Consider the following 20,221-nt stretch of genomic DNA (forward strand, 5'->3'; position numbering starts at 1 on the left):
AATTAGCTGGGCGTGGTGCAGGCGCCCGTCATCCCAGCTACTTGGGAGGCTGAGGCAGGAGAATCACTTGAACCCGGGAGGTGGAGGTTGCAGTGAGCGGAGATCGCACCACTACACTCCAGCCTGGGCAACAAGAGCGAGACTCAATCTCAAAAAAAAGAAAAGAAAAGGAAAAAAAAAAGAGTTCAGGATTTCATAGTCCGTCTCCTATGTCTAGTCTTTCATTTCTCATAATCGTTTCTTAGCCAGGAATCATCTCTGGAAGTAAATGGCTTCCTTTTCTTTGCGCACACATGCCCCTCTCTGAAGAGAGGCGCCATGCCCACCTGGGGGCTGCGGTACTCGCTTTTTTTTTTTTTTTTTTTTTTTTTTTTGAGACAGAGTCGCTCTGTCCCCCAGGCTGGAGTGCAGTGGCGCAATCTCAGCTCACTGCAAGCTCTGCCTCCCGGGTTCACGCCATTCTCCTGTCTCAGCCTCCCGAGTAGCTGGGACTACAGGCGCCCGCCACCACGCCCGGCTAATTTTTTTTTTTTGTATTTTTTTAGTAGAGACGGGGTTTCACCGTGTCAGCCAGGATGGTCTCGATCTCCTGACCTCGTGATCCGCCCGCCTCGGCCTCCCAAAGTGCTGGGATTATAGGCGTGAGCCACCGCGCCCAGCTGTGGTACTCACTTTTAATGCTCCTTAGAAAATTCTAACCAAAGGCTCCAAACGCAGCTCAAAACCCTGGCATGGAACCACACAAAAGGCACAAAGAGGCTGGGGCCAGGTGGAGCCCATCAGAAATTGAAGGCTCTGTGTCAGGAGCCACCCCATTCTGACCACGGGTCCGGGTTTCTCCACGGAAGCAGCTCCCAGGTCCCCAGTGTTAGGCAGAGTGGATTTCAGTCAGGAAAACTACGCAAGGCCATGTTCTTAGAATCTCTCCAACATTATTCTTGGCTCTGCTGACATTGCTTTGGCTTTAAAAAATCAATAAATTAAGCAAGCAGAAGGTTCTCTAACATCCAAGCTGGACTAAAGGGTTTTGCTCTTACCGAGCCAGAGGGAATATTTATTCCAAGAGACGTAAGATAGATTCTGCTGGACACCTGCCACTTGCTCATGATTCTTCCCTGGGAGGCTGGCAGCGCACGGAGAGGCTTCGCTCCACGGGAACCAACACCGTTGGCCGGCGCGGTGGCTCACGCCAGGAATCCCAGCACTTTGGAAGGCCAATGTGGGTGGATCACCTGAGGTCAGGAGTTCGAGATCAGCCTGGCCAATGTGGTGAAACCCCATCTCTACTAAAAATACAAAAAATTAGCCGGGCGTGGTGGCACACAGCTGTAGTCCCAGCTACTCAGGAGACTGAGGCAGGAGAATCACTTCAACTCGGGAGGTGGAGCTTGCAGTGAGCTGAGATCGTGCCACTGCACTCCAACCTGGGCGACAGAGTGAGACTCTGTCTCAAAAAAAAAAAAAAAATAGAAATAATACCTCTTACTACACTGGATGGTTTGAATTCCAACCTAAAGCAAAAAGAGGAAGGCTTTGATCTCATTCTATTGTTTATCCTAACATTTTTGCCTGACAGTCTGGATAAAACAAACTTTTATTTTGTTATTTATTTATTTTTTTTCAGATCCAGGCTGGAGTGCAGTGGAGTGATCATGGCTACGGCCTTAACCTCCTGGGCTCAAGCAATCCTGCCACCTCTGCCTCCCAAGTAGCTGGGACTACAAGGCGTGAACCACCACACTTGGCTAATTTTTGTATTTTTTTTTTTCTGTAGAGATGGGGGTCTCACCATGTTGCCCAGGCTGGTCTCGAACTCCTGGCCTCAAGCAATTCACCCGCCTCAACCTTCCAAAGTGCTGGGATTACAGGCGTGAGCCACCGCGCCTGGCCTCAGTCTTTTATCTGGTGGGAGCTCCATAAATCCATGCTAGCTGACCGGCCAGTCCTCTCCCAGGCAAGTGGCCACAGCGACGAAGGTTTGGCGGAGGTGCAGGGGGAGGTGTGGACAACGTACAGTCACAAGGCAGCGTCCGATTCAGTGAGGGTGACTGGGGAAGCTGCCGTTCATGAGCTCTTGTCACCAACTTGGGAAGCTGCCGTTCATATGCTCGTCACCAAAGTCAAGAATACCTTCTTCTGCACCACATTCTCGGAGATTTTCCAAATCCCGGGCATTTTCAGGCCTTCACTCCCTCCACTAATACCCCACAGCTTACTCCTCCCAAGTGAAGAGGCCGAGAAAAGAATCCATTTTATTTGTCAGAACCAGCCATAAGGTAAACAAATACAAAGAAAGTGTGTGCTCGCCAATTAAACGGGAATGCAGGCTTCTGGCGGAGACATGACCCCATTTTTCCATTCGCTCCATGTCAGTGAACCACCGTCACAGAGCTGGCCCCTATGGCTTGAGGGGGAAAAAAGAGAAAGGCTTTCTACGTGTTTCTACATGCCTTTTCCACCTCCTTTTTCCTAAGAAAAAGGCAGAATTCCATTTGACCCAATTCCCATTCGATGGAAAAGAAGAACAGAGAGGCAAGGACGTGGGCTTCAGCGTCACGGAGGCCTGAGTTTAAACCCTTGGATCTATGACAACCCACTAGCCGTGAGGTTCAAAGCAAGTCCACCAGACCTCTCCAAGCCTCAGCTCCCTCGTGTAAAACAGAGAGGTCTGTAACTGCCACACGGGTCACGGTTGAGAAGCGTGCCAGGTACAGCACATGCTCAGGAGTGTTCCTGTCTCCTCAACTTGGGTTCATACGACACGGATGGGGCGCAGGTACCGTACGGGGTACAGAGAGGGACAGAAAGCAGGGTTTAAGGGACTTCTCATGCAATAAAAAGGAAAATCTGTATCTTACAGCAGGACTAAGTTCCACAAGATTAGTTTTAATTTATAATCTTTACTTCTTTGAGACAGGGCCTCGCTCTGTTCCTCAGGCTGGAGTGCAGGGGTGCAAGCACAGCTCACTGCAACCTCGACCTCCTGGGCTCAAGCGATCCTCCCACCTCAGCCTCCTGAGTAGCAGGGACCACAGGCATGCATCACCACTCCTGGCTAATTTTTAAAATCATTCTGTAGAGATGGGGTCTCGCTGTGTTGCCCAGTCTGGCAAAGAAATCCTGGGCTTAAAGGATCTGGCCACCTTGGCCCCCCAAAGTCCTGGGATGACAGGCATGAGCCATCACACCTGGTCTCAGCAAGGTTTTTTGACTTCAAGAAAACGAGGGTGCTCTTAGGTCTTCAGACAATTGCTATTATCAATCATAGCAAAAAATAAAAAATAAATACAGCTGGGATGAGAGAGGACATTCTAGATGCATCAGAACTTACATAAAGATTGACAGAGGCCAGGTGTGGTGGCTCGCACCTGTAATCCCAGCACTTTGGGAGGCCAGGGCAGGTGGATCACCTGAGGTCAGGAGTTCGAGACCAGCCTGACCAACATGGAGAAACCCCGTCTCTACTAAAAATACAAAAATTAGCTGGACATGGTGGTGGGCACCTGTAATCCCAGCTACCCAGGAGGCTGAGGCAGGAGAATCACTTGAACCCAGGAGGTGGAGGTTGCTGTGAGCTGAGATCGCACCACTGCACTCCAGCCTGGGGGCGACAAGTGCAAAACAAAACTCCATCTCAAAAAAAAAAAAAAAAAAAAGATTGACGGAGCCACTTGAAACATCTGACTCAGAAGAAACAAGAACCAGAACGCTGGGGGTTCTAAGCCTTACAGCACAAAGAGAAAGACACTAATGTTTGTGGTTAACCGATGGATTGTGGTCAGGAAACAGGTTCAAATCTCATCTCCACCACCTGCCAGCTATGTGGCACTTACCTTCTCAGGAGGATTAAGTGGGAAGACAGAGCAGAAAGCCCAGCGCCTGCACGTGCCACACTTGCCTTCTCAGGAGGATTAAGTGAGAAGACAGAGCAGAAAGCCCAGCACCTGCACGTGCCCTGTGCTTCAGTGATGAAGCTACCGTTGTCGAAACATACTGAAAAGCTCTAAGCCCTGCTACCCGCAGTGATCCTGCATCGGAGGCAAAAAGACCACAGGAAGGTAGAAATGAATGAGAAATGCAGAGAGATTGGCCGGATGCGGTGGCTCACGCCTTTCATCCCAGCACTTTGGGAGGCCAAAACAGGTGGATCGCCTGAGGTCAGGAGTTCAAGACCAGCCTGGCCAACAAGGCAAAACCCTGTCTCCACTAAAATACAAAAATTAGCCTGGTGGTGGCGTGTGCCTGTAATCCCAGCTAGGAGAATCGCTTGAACCCGGGAGGCGGAGGTTGCAGTGAGCCGAGATTGCTCCATTGCACTACAGCCTGAGCAACAGAGCGAGACTGTGAAAGAAAAGAAAAGAAGAAAGAAAGAAAAAGAAAGAAAGAAAGAAAGAAAGAAAGAAAGAAAGAAAGAAAGAAAGAAAGAAAGAAAGAAAAAGAAAGAAAGAAAAGAGAGAGAAAAGAAATGCAGACAGATTAATTGTTGGCTGTTGCAGAATGCAAAATGAGGAATGACACTCGGGTTTCAAGTCTAAGGCTGTGGATATTTCGGAGCCTGGTGAAAAGCAAAGCACTGCCACGTTTTCCCTTCGCTCCCCCAACCTGCCGTAGATCACGTACCCCCACTCACAAAGAGCACACGCCCAGTACCCCATCCCTCTCACCAGGATGAAGAAAGACACCCAAAACCCAAGGTCCAAACTTAGGAAGAAACTGAATTCAACACAACAAAAGTCAACACCTCATGTGTAAAGGATCTTAATTAAACAGTATCAAGCATGCCGGCGTGAACTCAGTGTCTGGACCTACTCGTTATGAAATAAACTTAAGAATAAATCCCATCTAAGAACAGAAAAAAACCAGCAACTCTCATGCACATCAAATGCTGTTCTCGATGATCCTTTTCCCTCTGAACATCACAAAGCACCAGCAGGTGGGAGATAATTAAAGTTTGAATAAAATTTGTTTTATATGCCTCAGTTGGAACACTTTTGTTCCGCAAAGCTCTTCCCGCTCCAGCCCAAAGATGCACCCACAAAGAAAGAAATTTTTCTTTTTGTTTTTTGAGACGGACTCTCACTCTGTCGCCCAGGCTGGAGTGCAGTGACACAATCTCGGTTCACTGCAAGCTCCACCTCCCGGGTTCACGCCATTCTCCTGCCTCAGCCTCCCCAGTAGCTAGGACTTACAGACACCCACCAGCACGCCCGGCTAATTTTTTGTATTTTTTTTTTTAGTAGAGATGGGGTTTTCACCTTGTTAGCCAGGATGGTCTCGATCTCCTGACCTCGTGATCCGCCCACCTCGGCCGCCCAAAGTGCTGGGATTACAGGCATGAGCCACCGCATCTAGCCAAGAGTTTTTTCAAAATAATATTTTTCTGGATTTTTCTGGTTACATCTGGGGTTTTATGACTTCTGACAGATAAGGGTGGAGGAAGTAATTTACGAAAAGAAACATCTCTCTTGATCCATATTTACATTCCATAAGGGAGTGAGTTTGGCTTTTGGATTCTCCTCCCAGGCCTATCAGGGGGATAGAATTCTTGCTCCTATTTGATGAGATTTATGGGGCAATGAGGTCTGTGAGGCTGATGCTACACCACCTGCTTCACGAATACGGCCCCTCCATTTGCAAAGTGCTGACTTGGAACATTTGTATTTTTCCCTTACAAATCAATCAATCTATCTATCGGTCTGTCTGTCTGTCTGTCTATCTATCTATCTATCCGTCTGTCCACCCATCCGTCTGTCCGTCCATCCGTCCGTCCATCCGTCCATCTCACTCTGTTGCCCAGGCTGTCACACAGTGGCACGATCACAGCTCACTGCAGCCTTGACATCCTGAGCTCAGGCGATCCTCCTCAGCCTCCCGAATGGCTGGGACCACAGCTGTGTGCCACCATGCCCAGCTAATTTTTTGTAGAAATGAGGTCTCATCATATTGCTGAGGCTGGTCTCGAATTCCTGAGCTCAAGCGATCCTCCCACCTTGGCCTCCCAAAGTGCTAGGATTACAGGCAGTGAGCCACTGCACCCGGCCTAAATCTCTCATGTTTATAAGAGGTCATCTGATGGCTTTCCATCCCATTCAAACACATTTAGCATCCATATCTGCCTTTAATAAAAGGTCATAATACAGCCCTGGCATCACAAAAGCTAACCAGAGAACACTGAGGATATCAGCTCATGAAGATACTCTGTCTACAATGAGACTAGGACAACTGTCTTCCTTTTCAGAAAAGGAAACTGAGGCAGTGAGAGGCTATGATGCTTCAACACGGGGGACCTCAACCCAAGACTTGTGCTTTTAGTTCCATCACAGATACATCAGAGACTGTACTTAGTTGGGGAGTAACCTAAGCTAACCTCACCATGCACAGCCCAACAGGGAACCTAAGCTAACCCCACCATGCACAGCCCATCAGGGAACCTAAGCTAACCCCACCATGCAGAACCCAACAGGGAACCTAAACTAACCCCACCATGCACAACCCAACAAGGAACTAAGGTAACCCCACCATGTACAGCCCAACAGGGAACCTAAACTAACCCCACCATGTACAACCCAACAGGGAACCTAAACTAACCCCACCATGCACAACCCAACAGGGAACCTAAACTAACCCCACCATGCACAACCCAACAAGGAACTAAGCTAACCCCACCATGCACAACGCAACAGGGAACCTAAACTAACCCCACCATGCACAACCCAACAGGGAACCTAAACTAACCCCACCATGCACAACCCAACAGGGAACCTAAACTAACCCCACCATGCACAACCCAACAGGGAACCTAAGCTAACCCCACCATGCACAACCCAACAGGGAACTAAGCTAACCCCACCATGTACAGCCCAACAGGGAACTAAGCTAACCCCACCATGCACAGCCCAACAGGGAACCTAAGCTAACCCCACCATGCACAACCCAACAGGGAACTAAGCTAACCCCACCATGCACAGCCCAACAATTAGAACTTAGGGCATTTTAATTGGACTCAGACCTCATGTTCTGAATTTAAGACGGTGACAGTTACAGGAATGTGTGTAGGGATTATGGCTGGAATGCTGCCTCTCACTTACAGCTGACCCTCTTCCCAGGACTCTCCAAATCCACCTGGTGCCTCTCTTCTGCCCCCGCACAGCCAGGCCACCCCTCATCCAAACACCAGGTTTCCAGCACTGGAGCCTCACAAGCTCATCCCCACCCACAAAACACTCACAAACGCACCTGGCAAGTCAGTGTCTGCATAGCAGGTCTCGCAGTCTCAGCACTGCTGACACTTTGCTGGGAAGGGGCGGGGCGGGGTGGGGTGTGTGGGGGGGTGCTGTTCCGCACATTGTAGAATGTTCATCGCTGTCCCAGGAAATGCCAGTAATGCCCGCTTAGTGACAATCGAAAATGGTTCCAGAAGCCCAGGAGACTTTGAGACCAGTGAAACAATTCTGTATGATCCCAACCTGGTGGATGCATGTCATTCATTATGCATTCGTCAGAACCAACAGTGTCCAACACAAACAATAAACCCTAAGGTAAGCTGTGAACTTCAGATAGTAACAATGTACCCATACCAGCCCCTCAGTTGTAACAAATGTAGCGCACCAATGCAAGATGGTAATGACAGCAGGAATACCTGGAGGGCAAGGGAGGGGTACCTGTGAACTCTGTACTTTCTGCTCAGTTTTTCTGAAAACCTAAAACTGTTCTATGAAACAAAGTCTATCAATTAAAAATTTAAAGTCTTCAGACGTTTGCCTATGTCCCTAAAGGGCAAAGCTGTTCCACTTGGCAGATGCGGATGGGAGAACACGCCTACGCAGGCCAAGTCTCCAGCAGGGCAATGCTCTCGTTACTTCCACGAGTCAATCAGTGCAGTTGTATCAGGCCACGTTCCTGGACAGAGACTGGAAAAGGTGAGCTTTCTGAGTGCGCATGGGTTGTGGACACTCCTCTGGGGGATAATCTTTTTAGGGGAGAAAGCATGGAGCCCAGTCTCAGGAAACCCTAGGCAGAGGCTGGAGACAGAGGCCTAATCCTCCGGTCCCAGCTTAAAAGACAGCACCTTGGTTGCTATATTCACTCTGGTGAGAATGCCCTCCTTGGATTTCCCTTTTTCAAAAATTATCTCCATCGCTCAGTAGCGTGACATAAGAAATGGAAAGAAGCCTTGGCCTTCAAAAAAGGCCAGAGGAAGCATCTCAACGCCTGGAAGCCAGAGGAAGCATCTCAACCTCCGGAAGCCAGAGGAAGCATCTCAACTCCCTGGAAGCCAGAGGAAGCATCTCAATGCCCTGGAAGCCAGAGGAAGCATCTCAACCCCTGGAAGCCAGAGGAAGCATCTCAACTCCCTGGAAGCCAGAGGAAGCATCTCAATGCCCTGGAAGCCAGAGGAAGCATCTCAACCCCTGGAAGCCAGAGGAAGCATCTCAACTCCCTGGAAGCCAGAGGAAGCATCTCAACTCCCTGGAAGCCAGAGGAAGCATCTCAACTCCCTGGAAGCCAGAGGAAGCATCTCAACTCCCTGGAAGCCAGAGGAAGCATCTCAACCCCCGGAAGCCAGAGGAAGCATCTCAACTCCCTGGAAGCCAGAGGAAGCAACTCAACTCCCTGGAAGCCAGAGGAAGCATCTCAACCCCCGGAAGCCAGAGGAAGCATCTCAACTCCCTGGAAGCCAGAGGAAGCATCTCAACTCCCTGGAAGCCAGAGGAAGCATCTCAACTCCCTGGAAGCCAGAGGAAGCATCTCAACTCCCTGGAAGCCAGAGGAAGCATCTCAACTCCCTGGAAGCCAGAGGAAGCATCTCAAACGCCCTGGAAGCCAGAGGAAGCATCTCAAACGCCCTGGAAGCCAGAGGAAGCATCTCAAACGCCCTGGAAGCCAGAGGAAGCATCTCAAACGCCCTGGAAGCCAGAGGAAGCATCTCAAACGCCCTGGAAGCCAGAGGAAGCATCTCAAACGCCCTGGAAGCCAGAGGAAGCATCTCAAACGCCCTGGAAGCCAGAGGAAGCATCTCAAACGCCCTGGAAGCCAGAGGAAGCATCTCAAACGCCCTGGAAGCCAGAGGAAGCATCTCAAACGCCCTGGAAGCCAGAGGAAGCATCTCAAACGCCCTGGAAGCCAGAGGAAGCATCTCAAACGCCCTGGAAGCCAGAGGAAGCATCTCAAACGCCCTGGAAGCCAGAGGAAGCATCTCAAACGCCCTGGAAGCCAGAGGAAGCATCTCAAACGCCCTGGAAGCCAGAGGAAGCATCTCAAACGCCCTGGAAGCCAGAGGAAGCATCTCAAACGCCCTGGAAGCCAGAGGAAGCATCTCAGCACCCTGGAAGCCAGAGGAAGCATCTCAATGCCCAGAACCTGGGGGTCCTGCCGGGGGCAGCCTCTGCAGCTCTGCCACTGGTGTCCGCAGGGACGGGCGGAGACATGACGGAGGCGCCCCAAGAAGACGGTCCCCAGTTTTGCTAAACTGGCTGCTAAAATACCCCCTTCCATCTGAAAACATAATTGAGATGTGACTGCCTCAACTTTAAATCCACTTGGCTTCAGGCATTTGCATGGCTGAAACGTGGGCACACCCAGGTCCCCGCTGGCCGCCTTCATGATTCCCTGAAATCCTGGCTCTCCCTGATTGCCTTTCTCTCTCATCCTTTCCTTTCACCCTTTCCTTTTTTTTTTTTTTTTTTTTTTTTTTTTTTTTTTTTTTTTGAGACTAAATCTCACTCCGTCGCCCAGGCTGGAGTGCAGTGGCACCATCTCGGCTCACTGCAACCTCCGCCTCCTGGGTTCAAGTGATTCTCCTGCCTCAGCCTCCCGAGTAGCTGGGATTACAGGCACCCACCACCACGCCCAGCTAATTTTTGTATTTTTAGTAGAGACGGGGCTTCACCATGTTGGCCAGGCTAGTCTTGAACTCCTGACCTCAGGTGATCTGCCTGCCCCAGCCTCCCAAAGTGCTGGGATGACAGGCATGAGCCACCGCGCCTGGCCCACCCCTTCCCTTCATAGTTCATCTTCTCTAATGGAGAGAGGAAGAAAAGAGGGTACCCAAAGAAGCAAAAAAATGAGAGAAAATGAGAGATGATCAAACATAAACCACCATGGGGACTGCTGCCATGACACAGCTGGGTATGGGGAGAAACAGAATTCAGCAACCTTCTAAAGCTGCTACAATAATACTTTCTGGTTTAAAAAGACCCAATGTGGCCGGGCGCAGTGGCTCACGCCTCTAATCCCAGCACTTTGGGAGGTCGAGGTGGGCGGATCACAGGGTCAGGAGATCAAGACCATCCTGGCTAACACGGTGAAACCCCGTCTCTACTTAAAATACAAAAAAAAAAAATTAGCCAGGCGTGGTGGTGGGCACCTGTAGTCCCAGCTACTCGGGAGGCTGAGGCAGGGGAATGGCGTGAACCTGAGAGGCGGAGCTTGCAGTGAGCCGAGATCGCACCACTGCACTCCAGCCTGGGTTTTGTTTGTCTCAAAAACAAACAAACAAACAAAAAAACTAATTTTTCCCAACATCATTAATTCTTCTCAACAATGTAGTATCTTCCAAGGTGAATCTTTTAGTAAAATGGGCTTTACAAACTGTTGATGGGCTGGGGGCAGTGGCTCACACCTGTAATCCCAATGCTTTGGGAGGCTGAGGTGGGGAGGATTGTTTGAGGCCAAGAGTTCAAGACCAGCCTGGGCAACAGAGCAAGACTATCTCTACAAAAAAATTAAATAGGCTGGGCATGGTGGCTTATGCCTGTAATCCCAGTACTTTGGGAGGCTGAGGCAGGCGGATCACCTGAGGTCGGGAGTTCGAGACCAGCCTGACAACATGGAGAAACCCTGTCCCTACTAAAAATACAAAAAATTAGCCGGGCGTGGTGGCGCATGCCTGTAATCCCAGCTACTCGGGAGGCTGAGGCAGGAGAATCACTTGAACCCAGGAGGCAGAGGTTGCAGTGAGCCGAGATCGAGCCATTGCACTCCAGCCTGGGCAACAAAAGCAAAACTCCATCTCAAAAAAAAAAAAAAAATTAAGTAAGCAAGGCATGGTGGCGTGTGCCTGCAGTCCTAACTACTCGGGAGGCTGAGGTGGATTATTTGAGCACAGGAGTTTGAGATTACAGTGAGCTGTGATCGTGCCACGGCACTCCAGCCTGGGCAACACAGCAGACCCTGTGTCTAAAACACAAGAATAAAAAACAAGGAAGTAGAACTATTCCCGTACCTCTCCCTGTTGCCTCGCACACCGTATAAACTTACCAGACGTTAACTATCGTCTTCGTGTTTCAACTTCGCTTTAAAGTAAAATATAAACATTTATTAAACTATCCAGTTCTCCCACTTCTCATCTTAGTCACCCCGGCCCAAGGAAGTTTTTGTGGAATTGACAGATGACATCTGTTTTTACAGAGAGTTGTTTCTGGTAATAGAACCTTCTCCTCGACTTCAAAGCTTCCCTAAATTCTCTACAATAGACACTTGAACCTCTGCAGATCTCGAAGATGCTAAAATGGACCACGCGGTCCTGACCACCCGCCCCCGGCCCCTCAACAAACTCACGCTATTTCTCAGTTCCTGCATATCACACACAATATTCTTCTTTTTTTCCCAAGCCAGTCCCCTCCTAGGCCTGTTGCAGTGACGCCTCTCCTAGGAAAGTCCCCGCGGCAGATACACGGACTCCGTAATGGAAACTCCGGCGTGCCTAACAACAGCGTCACTGTCACACACGCGTGAGCTTTGACAGCCAGGGACTGGTAACCCACGGCCACCGCGCCCAAGAAAATTATTTCCCATGGGAGAAAGAAAACTACGTTCAGCTCCTGGCAGGTCCCAGGCAAGTCCGAGCCAGGCTTGCAGGGAGGCGAATGCTCTGTCCTGGGAAAGGGAGGCAGAGGTTAAGGGCTGTTCCCACCCTCCAGTGACCCAGATGGGAAAGGCAGCTGCGTGGACATCAAAATGACAGCAGAGACGTGTGGCTTTTCCCCAGCGTCACTGAAACAAAGCCAGCATGGGCTGCCCCACACTGTTTACAGGACAATCAATTAGCAAGATGGATCTCATGATTAAGAGAAACTCAATTTCTTCTTGAAAGCACGTTCTAGGGTGGGGTGCATCCTTACCACATCAGTCAGATGTCAAAAGGCAGCACGTAAATTGAATAAGGGAAGGAAAATGCCGGGCGGCCTCATTCACGTCCGGCATGTTCCGCTATTATTGAAAGGAAATTGAGAAATTAGACAGTACTGCCTATTAGCTTCACAATGCCCCGTCCTAGGGCAATCCGCAAAGATTTCCTCAGTGTGCTGTCAACTCTGTGTTAAATGAATTCTCGGTCCAGCATTTGTTTTTCTTTTATTCTTTTTTCGAGATGGAGTCTCACTCTGTCACCCAGGCTGGAGTGCAGTGGCACGATCTCGGCTCACTGCAACCTCGGCCTCCAAGGTTCAAGCAGTTCTCCTGCCTCAGCCTCCCGAGTAGCTGGGACTACAGGTGCCCGCCACCACGCATGGCTACTTTTTCTATTTTTTTCTTAGTAGAGATGGGGTTTCACCGTGTTGGCCAGGCTGGTCTCGAACTCCTCACCTCAGGTGATCCGCCCACCTCGGCCTCCCGAAGTGCTGGGATGACAGGTGTGAACCCCTGCTGCTGGCCAGTTAAGATTATTTTAAGGATAACTTGATATTGTGCACTTCAAAGTTCTCCATGGATTGAGCTGGTCAAGCAATGCTTAATTTTCAAGTAACTACCCACCTACTGCTGTGCCTTTCTTCCCCACAGCCATTCATCTTTGTTCCTGTCTTCATGGGGCTCAGGGTTTCTCAACCTCAGCACTTGGCGGCTGGATGGTTTCTCCCTGGTCGAGGCTGGTCTGTGCATTCCAGGATGTCCAGCAGCACTCCTGGTCTTTACCATCCCCCCAAGACTGGACAAACAACCCTGGGGGAAAAACTGCCCCAGTTGAGAACCACTTTCCTAGTTCCATGCACTCTGCTCTCCTGGGACACACCCCTCTTCAGCTCCCCTGCCTGGAACACCTTTGATCCCATCTTTACCTACTAATTCCCACTCTGCCATCTGGAGCTCGTCCGGACGCCACCTCCTCTGAGAAACTACTCTGAGGCCAGGTGTAATGTCTCACCCCTGTAATCCCAGCACCCTGCCTGGAACAGCTTTGATCTTCTTTACCTACTAACTCTTACTCTGCCGTCAGGAACTCGTCCGGACGCCATCTCCTCTGAGAAACTACTCTGAGGCCAGGCGCAATGTCTCACACCTGTAATCCCAGCACTTTGGGAGGCTAAGGTGGGAGGACCACTTCAGGCCAGGAGTTCAAGACCAGGCTGGGTAAGATGGAGAAATTTCATCTTTACAAAAAATACAAAAATTAGCCAGGACGGTAGTGCACACCTATAGTTCCAAGCTGAGGTGGGAGGACTGCTTGAAACTGGGAGGTCGAGGCTGCAGTGAGCCATGAGGGCACCACTGCACTCCAGCCTGGGTGACAAAACAGACTGTCTCAAAAAAACAAAAACAAAACAAAAAAACTACTCTGAAAGTCATTTCTTCCTATCCCCTCCCTGCAAAGAAGGAAGGACAGGGCTGGGATTCTGCCTCTGTGCATGCTTTTTTTTTTTTTCTTTTTTTTTGAGACAGAGCCTTGCTCTGTCGCCCAGGCTGGAGTGCAGTGGCACGATCTTGGCTCACTGCAACCTCTGCCTCCCGGGTTCAAGTGATTCTCCTGCCTCAGCCTCCCGAGTAGCTGGGATTACAGGCACCCACCACCATGCACAGCTAATTTTTGTATTTTTAGTAGAGACGCGGTTTCACCATGTTGGTCAGGCTCGTCTTGAACTCCTGACCTCAGGTGATCCACCCGCCTCGGCCTCCCAAAGTGCTGGGATTACAGGCGTGAGCCACCGCACCCCGGCCTGTGCATGCTTTTCTTACAGCACCTTTTATATTAATAGTACTATAACTGTCTCCTTACTTTGCTTAATACTCCATCTATCCATCCATTAATTCAACAAATATTGACGTGCTGGGTACAAAAAATAAGACCCTGAGAGAGACACCTGGATGCCCGCTCTCCTGAGCTCATATTCTCGTGAGGGAGGACGATCAATAAACAACAATAAACAAGAAAATGGCAGGTATTACTGAGAGCTGCAAAGAAGATACAGCTTGCTTCTCTTTCCCGCAAGGAGATTTAGCTCCTTGAGGGCAAAGACTGATTCACTCATGATTATATCGTCAGGAATTAGCGCTGAGCCTTAAAAAACAAAACCACGGATTCCGCACTTTCCTCCTTTCTCTCCTCTCTGTTACGGAGATTTAGGTACAGGGTTTCTTTTCCTGGGAGACAGTAAAAAAAGCTTCCTGCAGGGAGGGTCTTGCCCAGTTGATAAATTTTACAAGCTGGGGGCGGTGGTGCACGCCTGTAGTCCCAGCTACTAGGGAGGATGAGGCAGGAGGATAGCCTGAGCCCAGGAGTTCGAGGCTGCAGTGAGCTATGATCATGTCGTTGCACCCCAGCCTGAGTGACAGAGTGAGACCCTGTCTCTAAATTAATTATTTTCACAAAGGAAATCAAAGGGCTTTTGTTAAAGTAAATGATATCCTCAAGCTATAGAGTTTAACACTAAAACTTTTCTGAGGGCCGGGCGTGGTGGCTCATGCCCGTAATCCCAGCACGTTGGGAGGCCGAGGCAGGCGGATCTCCTGAGGTCAGGAGTTTGAGACCAACCTGACCAACATGGAGAAACCCTGTCTCTACTAAAAATACAAAATTAGCGGGGTGTGGTGGCGCATGCCTGAAATCCCAGCTACTTAGGAGGCTGAGGCAGGAGAATCGCTTGAACCCGGGGGGGCAGAGGTTGTGGTGAGCCAAGATTGCGCCATTGCACTCCAGCCTGGGCAACAAGACCGAAACTCCGTCTCAAAACAAAAAAAGGAAAAAAAAACACAAACTTTCTGAAGATATAGCCAAAAAGCTCATGAAGAGAGACAGCATTTTATAGATGGAGAAATGGAGGCCTGGAAATGGTGAGCTGCCCAAGGCCACAATGCCAGGAACCCAGAGCTGACCATCTGGCTTCAGAGCCCACTCTCTTCCCCACCAGATTCCCACCTCTTGCAGGAACAGAGAGGCACGAGGAAGGTACAAACATCAGGAGGAAATCTCTTTCCTCCCAGGAGGCTGCTGGCAAACCATGGCATCAGGATCCTCCCAGGGTGGGAAGGGAGGGTGGTGAGTTTATTTACAAGCAAAATGAATCTGCCCGTTCAAGGAGAAGAAACATGAATGATACTAGTTTTTCAAATTCTTACCACTGGGACTGGCCCTAAACTTTAGCACTTTATTAGAAAGCCAAAAACCACTCAAAAGCTAACGTCTACAGAGAAGACGGCCAAAAAAAAAGTACCTTTTTTTCTCTTCATGGAAAGTTTTCTAATATTTAAAAGCTCAGGATTATTCTGCAGAGACGTTATAAATGACCCAATCTGCAGGGCTGGAAGCATCTTCTGGGAGGCAGGGGAGTTTTGAGAGAAAAGTGTGGACTTTATGAAAAGATAGATCTGCATTCTTTTTTTTTTTTTTTTTTTTTTTTGGATGGAGTTTAAGCTCTTTTTGCCCAGCCTAGAGTGCAATGGCACGATCTTGGTTCATTGCAACCTCCACCTCCCGGGTTCAAGTGATTCTCGTGCCTCAGCCTCCCGAGTAGCTGGGATTGCAGGCATCCACCACCACGCCTGGCTAATTTTTGTATTTTTAGTAGAGATGGGGTTTCACCATGTTGGCCAGGATGGTCTCGATCTCCTGACCTCACTTGATCTGCCCGCCTCGGCCTCCCAAAGTGATGGGATTACAGGCATGAGCCACGGCGTCCGGCCAGATAGATCTGCATTCTCATTTGTATCCAAAACCCCTCTGAGCCTCAACGTCACCCTCTGCAACATGCAGGGATCTGTGGGGGGAGATGATCTCTACATGAAATGGAATAACAGTATCTGGCACAAAGGCAGACACTTAATCAACGCTAGCTCCTTTCCTCTCCGCAGTTTATTCCGGGGAAGAACTCTGGCCTGGGAAACAGCAGACCTGGTCCAACTCCCGGCTCTGCCAGATCCCAAGTGACTCAAATGCTTCAGCTGCCCTGACCTCTGCTTCCTCGTTACTAAAATGAAAAGCACGGGATCTACCTCCAACAACAGTCATGGGATTCAAGGACACCAGGACACCTCCCCCGTGAAAACCAGGGCAATGAATTCAAACAAAGCACATTAACTAAATCTAAATCTAAATCGATGGCATTTTGTCCCATAAACACTCAGCCTGAAAGTCTCTCCTTCAGCTTGCTGTTTGTTTTTTTGTTTTGTTCTGTTTTTTGGAGATGGGATATCGCTCTGTCGCCCAAGCCGCAGTGCAGTGGCGCAATCTCAGCTCACTGCAACCTCTGCCTACTGGGTTTAAGTCATTCTCCTGCCTCAGCCTCCTGAGTAGTTGGGATTACAGGCACCCACCATCATGCCCAGCTAATTTTTGTATTTTCAGTAGAGACGGGGTTTCGCCATGATGGCCAGGCTGGTCTCAAACTCCTGACCTCAGGTGATCCACCTGCCTCAGCCTCCCAAAGTGCTGGGATTGCAGGTGTGAGCCACCGCACCCGGCCTCAGCTTGCTGTTTAAACATGGTCTCATGCAGAGCCATCTGCCTGTGAGCTGGACAGCCACACGGTCCAGGGTTCCAGCCCTCCAGGCTCATCTCCCAAAAATACCCTCGGGTGTTTGTCCCAGCTAGTGAGTCAGGACTGAACCTGATACCAGGGAACAGTGTTGCTGCTGTCAGGGCATCTCTCGCCAGTTTCATTATTCACTGCTCCCACTCGCACGACGGACCCACGTCCGCCGTCCGTTCCAGACATAAGCCAACGCTCGCTCTGGCGTTCTCAGAAACCGTTCCGGTAACAGAAAAAGCTTTTTAACTTCCCGTGAGATCCACGAGGATCCGTGAGGTTGATACTTCAAGTCGAAGGCACGAGAATGTCCTTCTGAACCTGAAAATCACGGTGAAGGTCCTCGGGACATCTACATCGAGGCAGAAACAGATTTACTAGGGAGAAGGCAGTGGAGAGAAAAAGGCGACACAAGAAAAGATGCTGCCTCACTGGGCCGTCCTGCCCTGTCCCCTCCCCCAAAAGGTGAGCAGAGAAAGCTTTTTAAAGGCAACTGTCACTCAGTGGCAATGCCACTGGCTTTCTAGGACTTACTTTCTTCCCTCCAAACCTGTTTACGAAGGAGACGTGAGGAAAAAAGGTAAGAGTCACACAGAACAAGCACCACGACAGCCCCTCCCATCATCAGCCCCTCCCATCATCAGCCCCTCCCATCATTCCATCCACCACCCTGGTACTCACACTATTTTAACACAACACAATGGCCTCTGCCCATCATTCTTTTTTTTTTTTTTTAAGACTGACTTTCGCTCATCACCCAGGCTGGAGTGCAATGGCGCGATCTCAGCTCACTATAACCTCCGCCTCCCGGGTTCAAGCGATTCTCCTGCCTCAGCTTCCCAGGTAGCTGGGATGCACCATCACGTCTGGCTAATTTTTTATATTTTTAGTAGAGATGGGCTTTCTCCATGTTGGTCAGGTTGGTCTCGAACTCCCGAACTCAGGTGATCCGCCCACCTCGGCCTCCCAAAGAGCTGGAATTACAGGCTGAGCCACCGCACCCAGCCTCCCCTCCCATCATTTCATCGACCACCCTGGTACCCACAATATTGAACACAATGTATAACTATAATAACAACAATAATAAAAGCAGCTAACAGTTATGACGTGCTCACCTCTTCAATTCTGCTACAAGTTTTTTTGTTTTTTTGTTTTTGTTTTGAGACAGAGTCTCACTCGGTCACCCAGGCTGGAGTGCAGTGGTGCCATCTTGGCTCACTGCAACCTCCTCTTCCAGTGTTCAAACGATTCTCCTGCCTCAGCCTCCCAAGTAGCTGGGATTACAGGCGCCCGCCACCATGCCCAGTCTCTGTTTTTTGATCTATGCTTTTTTTTTTGAGACAGGGTCTCGCTCTGTCACCCAGGCTGGAGTGCAGTGGTATGATCACAGCTCACTGCAACCTCTGCCTCCCAGGCTCAAGCAGATTCTCCCACCTCCACCTCCTGAGTAGCTGGGACTACAGGCGTGCGCTACCACACCCAGCTAACTTTAAAATTTTTTGTAAAGACGGTGTTTTGCCTTGTTGCACAGGCTGGTCTCAAACTCCTGGGCTCAAGTGATCCTCCTGCCTCAGCCTCCCAAAGTGCTGGGATTCCAGGCGTGAGCCAGGACACCCAGCCTCTGCTACAAGTTCTATACATATGGGCTCACTTAGTACCCACGACAACCCTTTGAGGTATTATTATCCCCATTTTCCAGATAGAACACTGAGGTTCAGAGAGGCTAAGGAGCTGCCGGAAGTCATACAACGTATTATGACCGCAGCCAAAGGGCCTGACGCCTGCCTTCATTCAGGGTAGACCAAATCCCCACTGGGGCGGCCCCCTCCGAAGCCAACCTCACCCCCCACGGGCAGATTCCTAACAAAATTCACGCTCCCTTGTTTGTGGTAAAAGTCACTAGTCTGTGGACAAGGAGGAGTTAAGGCTGCATTTGTAGACGCAGAACCTAGTTTTCTGAGTTTTGTGGGCTGAAGTCAGACTTGTAGCATTAACTTTAACGTAAATTTTTTTGGAGGTGATTCATGTAGAATTCCTGCCAAGAATTTTCATAATTAGACTGAATAAGGCCAAACTCTGTCCGTACATGCCTCACCGCGTCGACTGCCCTAAGAGTTCTTCTGCAGCCCCAGCAAAGCCTGGGGAAGGGCTGGCCGAGCGGACTTCCAAAACTCCCAGGTTGTAAGCGGGCCTTGCTGCGGAGAGCGGGACCTGCGGGCTGCCCGGACGTCGGACGCCGTCCGGCTTCCATCCGACAGACTGGCCCCAGTTTTATGGTGCCCCGTGGCCACGAAGGACAAAAGGAAAGGACGCACACGTCGGAAAAAGCTTATAAAACAAGAGCCTTTCCCAGTGGCCTCTTTTCCGAGGGCTGTAAAGTCTCTCTCTCTGATGTGGTGATTTTCAGCATTTTTCCCCTCCACTTTGACCCAACACATTCCCATCAGTAACAGGAACTCACCCACATGGCAGTATTTTTTCGTTTACTTGTTTGTTTTTGAGACACAGCCTCACTCTGTCACCCGGGCTGGGGTGCAATGGTGCCATCTCGGCTCACTGCAACCTCTGCCTCCCGGGTTCAAGCGATTCTCCTGCCTCAGTCTCCTGAGTAGCTGGGATTACAGGCGCATGCAATCACATCCAGCTAATTTTTGTATTTTTAGTGGAGATGGGGTTTCACCATCTTGGCCAGGCTGGTCTCGATCTCCTGACCTCAGGTGATCTGCCCACCTCGGCCTCCCAAAGTGCTGGGATGACAGGCGTGAGCCACCATGCCCGGCCCTTGGCAGTATTTTTTACAGGTAAGGGAAGAATACACATCTTTACTCCTCACCCTTAGAGAAGCAGAGTCTGTATGACATGAAGGGTTTGGCAAAGCCCCCTGCAAGGTCTGTTTCCCGTCTTCTGCTCCTCTTCACACACAAGCGTGTGTGCCACATTCACACTCCTACACCCACAACTACGGATCTAACACACAGTCCCCAAACATACACTCTGCCAATGAATCAAGACTTACCTGGAAGGCTATGTCATTAAAATCACTGGAATTATATTAAAATTCTAAAATAGGCCAGGTGTGGTGGCTCATACCTGTAATCCCAGTATTTTAGAATGCCGAAGCAGGCAGACTGCTTGAGCCCAAGAGTTCGAGACCAGCTGGGCGACACAGCAAGACCCTGTCTGTAAATGTAAATATATATATATATATATAGATGCCGGGCATGGTAATGCACACACATAGTTTCAGCTATTCAGGAGGTGGGAAAATCCCTGGAGCCCAGGAGCTAAGAGGCTGCAGTGAGCTAAGAATGCACCACCACACTCCAGTCCAGGTGACAGAACGAGATCCTGTCGGTTAAAAATAAAAAAAGTGAAATAAAGAATGTATAAGTTTCTTAAAGCAGTCTTCAAAACAGAAAGGGAAGTTTAAAGCAACCTGCTGCCCCAAAATGGAGGGGTGCTCTTACAGGCTAGAACGTAGTAAA

At 49.8% G+C, this 20,221-nt stretch overlaps 1 protein-coding gene across 4 annotated transcripts in view, besides 6 other annotated features; it reads right to left on the reverse strand.

Moving 5' to 3' along the window:
• Positions 1 to 20,221, reverse strand: part of NXN (nucleoredoxin) — a 180,467-nt gene that overhangs the window by 86,017 nt on the left and 74,229 nt on the right. The window contains exon 1 of one of the 4 annotated variants that reach the window (XM_005256758.4): positions 11,560 to 12,571. The exons of the other annotated variants lie outside the window; for them this stretch is intronic. Coding sequence (XP_005256815.1) covers positions 11,560 to 11,580 — 21 coding nt within the window. The 5' untranslated portion in view covers positions 11,581 to 12,571. Of the gene's footprint in view, positions 1 to 11,559; positions 12,572 to 20,221 lie in introns of those variants that run through there. 4 annotated transcript variants of the gene reach the window in all.
• Positions 1,933 to 2,432: an enhancer, noted in NCBI's record as "H3K4me1 hESC enhancer chr17:790499-790998 (GRCh37/hg19 assembly coordinates)". NCBI's record gives its function as "activates a minimal SCP1, AML or CMV promoter by ChIP-STARR-seq in primed H9 embryonic stem cells {active_cell/tissue: H9 hESC(primed)}" and the evidence as "EXISTENCE:reporter gene assay evidence [ECO:0000049][PMID:30033119]".
• Positions 11,444 to 12,643: an enhancer, noted in NCBI's record as "BRD4-independent group 4 enhancer chr17:800010-801209 (GRCh37/hg19 assembly coordinates)". NCBI's record gives its function as "activates an origin of replication core promoter dependent on BRD2, P300/CBP, MED14 and CDK7 cofactors, and independent of BRD4, by STARR-seq in HCT116 cells {active_cell/tissue: HCT116}" and the evidence as "EXISTENCE:reporter gene assay evidence [ECO:0000049][PMID:35650434]".
• Positions 11,444 to 13,194: a biological region, named in NCBI's record as "BRD4-independent group 4 enhancer GRCh37_chr17:800010-801209".
• Positions 12,553 to 13,194: an enhancer, noted in NCBI's record as "NANOG-H3K27ac-H3K4me1 hESC enhancer chr17:801119-801760 (GRCh37/hg19 assembly coordinates)". NCBI's record gives its function as "activates a minimal SCP1, AML or CMV promoter by ChIP-STARR-seq in primed H9 embryonic stem cells {active_cell/tissue: H9 hESC(primed)}" and the evidence as "EXISTENCE:reporter gene assay evidence [ECO:0000049][PMID:30033119]".
• Positions 13,195 to 13,835: an enhancer, noted in NCBI's record as "NANOG-H3K27ac hESC enhancer chr17:801761-802401 (GRCh37/hg19 assembly coordinates)". NCBI's record gives its function as "activates a minimal SCP1, AML or CMV promoter by ChIP-STARR-seq in primed H9 embryonic stem cells {active_cell/tissue: H9 hESC(primed)}" and the evidence as "EXISTENCE:reporter gene assay evidence [ECO:0000049][PMID:30033119]".
• Positions 14,339 to 14,840: an enhancer, noted in NCBI's record as "H3K4me1 hESC enhancer chr17:802905-803406 (GRCh37/hg19 assembly coordinates)". NCBI's record gives its function as "activates a minimal SCP1, AML or CMV promoter by ChIP-STARR-seq in naive H9 embryonic stem cells {active_cell/tissue: H9 hESC(naive)}" and the evidence as "EXISTENCE:reporter gene assay evidence [ECO:0000049][PMID:30033119]".

The sequence above is a fragment of the Homo sapiens genome, chromosome 17, assembly GCF_000001405.40.
Source record: "Homo sapiens chromosome 17, GRCh38.p14 Primary Assembly".
NCBI lineage: Eukaryota > Metazoa > Chordata > Mammalia > Primates > Hominidae > Homo > Homo sapiens.